The 4,521-nt window shown below is 37.4% G+C and overlaps 1 annotated feature.

Moving 5' to 3' along the window:
- Nucleotides 510-1,099: an enhancer, noted in NCBI's record as "OCT4-NANOG hESC enhancer chr14:84172774-84173363 (GRCh37/hg19 assembly coordinates)". NCBI's record gives its function as "activates a minimal SCP1, AML or CMV promoter by ChIP-STARR-seq in primed H9 embryonic stem cells {active_cell/tissue: H9 hESC(primed)}" and the evidence as "EXISTENCE:reporter gene assay evidence [ECO:0000049][PMID:30033119]".

Here is a 4,521-nt window from a genome sequence, read left to right as displayed (position 1 = left end):
TAGAAAATAAAGAGCTTGCAAAAATCAGGAAGACCCGTGTGTCCTTCTTCGAAGAAAACACTTATTAAAATCCAGGGTTACCTCCATTAGTAAATAAGGACATTGTCAAAACTAAGTTCATTTTCTTTAAAGTACATGTTTTTAAAAATTACATACTTTATTAGATAATGGGGCCTCATGTAAACAGGCACTGCACTTTATTCATCATGATTCACCCCAGTGAGCAACAGAGGTCTTTCCTAAGGATATGCATGTAGGAAGGAAATTGATGGAATGACGCTATTCACACAATCAGGGTCAGAGAGGTTCAAGTTAACATGTCTATGTCACCCAGGCCACTTGTTCTATTATATTCATCTCTTTCTGAAAATGTAAACCAGGTGTTCCTTGACCAGGTAACACCAGCACTCGGCAACCAGGAGAAATCTGTCTCTTTTGTTTCACCTGCCTTATTAACTTTAACCTTCCCAAGAGCATTCTATGTGGCATTCAGAGAAAATCTGATTAGAAATTTGGAAGAGAGGACTCTGTCACTCTGCTGCATTCCTGATGACTACAGAGATTAGACGCTCAATACCACTGAGAAGAAGCACCTGTGGCAAGGGCAGAGCTTTTAATGCAAAAATAGAGCTTATTTATTAGGCTCAAACATTTCTATGTCAGCTGTCATTTCTTCATGGCAAGATGTCCTCCTCTCCTCCCCAGCTTGCTCAAAGGAGCTGTCAGGTCAGAAAAGGGGAAAAAGGAAACAAATGCTTTTTCTCTTTCAATTTCCCAGTGGGGGAGCCCTGTTGAAATGCCAGGCATGCCCTGCTGCTTTCTGCATCAACAGATGGCAGACGGGCTGCATTCCTTGTGTTTGTTTCCCATTTAGCAAATTGCAGCTCACATCTGGTCTAGCCTCTGCTTGGTCTGAGCAGATGGGAGTTCACATTCTTTATAGGTGGATGACTTATAAAAAGAAGGAAAAAAAAAGAGTGAAAGAGAGAGGGAACTAGAAATACAGAGGAAAAGAGAAAGACAGAGAAGCATTAAAAAGATGACAAGGAAATCTGAGCAGCTGGTATGAGTTCAGTATCAGCAAACCATTTAGCAGACCTGGCCAACAGTGAATGGAACAGAATCACACTTAGAGACAGCCAAGCAATCCAGGATGGGAAAGAATAAGCTTCCAGATGAGGGAAAGAAGATGGCGACACAATTCATTTCACTCTCCAGAGATTCTATAATTTACATTTTTTTTCCCAATTGCTTGAGCCCGGGAGTTCAAGGCTGCAGTGAGCTACGATCATGCCACTGCATGCCAGCCCAGGCAACAGAGCAAACCTCATCTCAAAAACAAAACAGAACAAAACAGAAAATTGTATTTTTTTCTACCCTGGATTTTCACCAACTTTAGGAAGGTCATTTATGCTTCATAGTTTTAAAATATACTTCTACCCTGTTGTTCTAAGTCACTCCAGCTCCTGTGGGAATCTTAAGCAACATTCCACTACATGGCAATCTGTGTAAAATCATTGATCAGAGAGATCATGGTTATGGGCTTCTGAGCTGTAAGAATGCCCCGAGCTAAATTCACTATGCAAAGAAATAATTCTCAAATTAGGATGCTCATGGTAATCACCAGTTGTGGTTTTTAAATATGCAGATACCAGAGCCCCTGCAACATAGTTTCTGATTCAGTGTCTAAAACAATGTTTCTAAAACTTACTTTGAATAAAAATCAATTGGATTATTTATTAAATGCATAGGCTCAGGACCTTACCTACATCTTCCATGATTCTGATTCACCAGCTCTGGAGAAAGACCTGATAATGTACCATTTTAATAATTATTTCAAGATTTTTTTATGCCAGTAAAGTTTAAGGAACACTGGTTTAGAGTAAGTCTTGGAGATCTTTTTATTTAAAATCCACACAAGTATTTCAGATCTGAAGTGAGGCTTATAAATATCTGACTTACAGTTAAGGTTTGGCAAAGATGTCTAGATTGTACAGCATCAAATCTAATATAGATATTTTATCACTGAAATATCAGGTTTTAACCTTGGTCATTCTCAGATACCTTTGACACTCATATGGAATAAACAAGAAGCAGATTATATGTAGCAAATAAGTTACTTTTCTGTAAGAATGAGGAGGATTAGGATGTATACTTATATTCATATTTGTTTGTACAGTGAGTTGTGTTACTTGTTTTGAAAATGTAAATTTGTTTCAATATGTTTAATATATTAGGGAACAATTTATGCATAACATGAATTTCACATTTGCTTATGCACAATTATATCTACAAGAAAAACTCAGAAAATGCCAGAACATTGCATCCAACTGAACTCAGCTCAGTAGCAATACATAAAATGTGCATGCACATAGCCTAGTGTGCACACACATATCACTTCACGTCAGACAACTACCAGCTACTTCAGTTCTCCTTTTGGTGTTAGATCTCTGAATCTATTTTCAGAGAACCCATTTTCCACTAAGTATGATAAGGCAGGCACAACATACAACCCATCAGACATAACCTTATGCCCTCCCTGCTCTTTAATTTTCCCTAATATTTTCTCAGCCTAGATTTTTTAATCTCTTTTAACTGATTCTTTCTCTTTCTTTCTTTCTCTTTCTTTCTCTTTCTCTTCCTTTCTTTCTTTTTCTTTTTCCTTCCTTCCTTTCTCTTTCTTTCTTTCTCTTTCTTTCTTTCTTTCTTTCTTTCTTTCTTTCTTTCTTTCTTTCTTTCTTTCTTTCTTTCTTTCTTCTTTCTTTCTTTTTTTTTTTTTGAGTCAGAGTCTCGCTCTGTCACCCAGGCTGGAGTGCAATGGCGCGATCTTGGCTCACTGCAACCTCCACCTCCCAGGCTCAAGCAATTCTCCCACTTCAGTGTCCGAAGTAGTTGGGATTCCAGGTGCCTGCCACCACACCCAGCTAATTTTTGTATTTTTTGTAGAGACGGGGTTTCACCATGTTGGCCAGGCTGGTCTCGAACACCCAACCTCAAGTGATCCTCCCTCCTCAGCCTCCCAACGTGCTAGGATTAAAGGTGTGAGCCACCACGTCCCACTCTTTTTCTCACTCTATTTCTATTTCGCTTTTGTCTCTTTCTTCTCACAGTGTAGCAGAAAAGGCAGTCAGGCAAACAGACCACAAGATCACGGGTGTCCATTTGCACAAGGAAATTTTAGGCCTTTTCCTAGTTAAAAAGTCATCTAATATAATAGTTAGACACTTCTTAGCCACTAACATATGCTGAATTGTACTGTTATTCTTATTTGTTTCCTATCATTTTTATGTGTTACTGTCAAAGTTTTTTAATGTTGTACTCTTAATATCATTTTCCCTTAAGCCTCCTGTAGTTTCTAATAAAATTTATTTTTTAGAACAGTTTCTAGATCGATAGAAATTGTAAGGAAGGTAGAGTGTTCCCATGTACATTGAACCCAGTTTCTCCTATTAACGTTTTATGTTAGTATGGCTCATTTGTCACATAGAGTAAACCAACATTGACAGATTGTCATTAAGCTTATACTTTATTTAGATTCATTTCATTTTTACCTTATGTCCTTTTTCTATTCCAAGATCTCATTTAGGAAACCACATTTCATTTAATCGACATATTTCTTTAGGCTCTTTATGGCCATGACAGTTTCTTAGACAAACCTTGTGTTTTAAAACCTTGACAGTTTTCAGGAGTACTGGTCAGGAGTTTTACAGAATAGCCCTCCAGTGAAATACACCTGATGTTTGCCCATAATTAGACTGTGGATATGGGTTTTGGGGAGGGAGAACACAAAATTCAAATGCCATTTTATCACATCAGGCAAAGGGTACTTTAAGCCATTAATGTTGAATTTGATCACCTGAATGAGGTAGGCTTTGTCAGGTTTCTCCACCGTAAAGTCACTCTTTCATTGTCCTTTCCATATTGTACTCATTGGAAGGAAGTCACTGTGTGTGACACACATTTAAGGAGTAAAGAGTTATGCTCACTTTTCTTGAGGGCAAAGTATCCACACAAGTTATTTCAAATTATTTTGCACAAAAGAGTTGTCTCTTCTCCATTTCTTTCTTTATTCGATCATCTAATTCTGTCCTTGTACATGTGAGTTTCTAGGATTTCCTTACCTATGGCACTACAAGATGCTGCAGGCTCATCTTGTATATTTACTCTCCAATCCCAGAATTGGTCATTTATTCTAGGAGAATTTGTTTCTTTTAAGGCTAATGGTATCAAAAACCTACATCTACATTCTAAATGAGCTTATTGCTACTTGGATGTCCTTGTTTTTAGGACTCCTCATCTGAAAGAGTAAGAAAAAATATGTGTATGCTAAAAAATATGTGTATGCTTAAATATGTGCATATGCACATACTTACAAATATGTTTCTGTGTAAATATCTGTGTATATATTAAGCTAAACATGAGTATATACTGATGCTTCCAACTGTAATGCATTATCACATACATCATTGTAGTCTCCTTCTCTTGCTTGTCTGTAACCTTCCAATACAGCAGCAAGAAACT

This window comes from Homo sapiens, chromosome 14, assembly GCF_000001405.40.
Source record: "Homo sapiens chromosome 14, GRCh38.p14 Primary Assembly".
Classification (NCBI taxonomy): domain Eukaryota; kingdom Metazoa; phylum Chordata; class Mammalia; order Primates; family Hominidae; genus Homo; species Homo sapiens.
The sequence above is the reverse complement of the archived record's forward strand: the minus strand, read 5'-3'. Positions and strand labels throughout refer to the sequence as shown.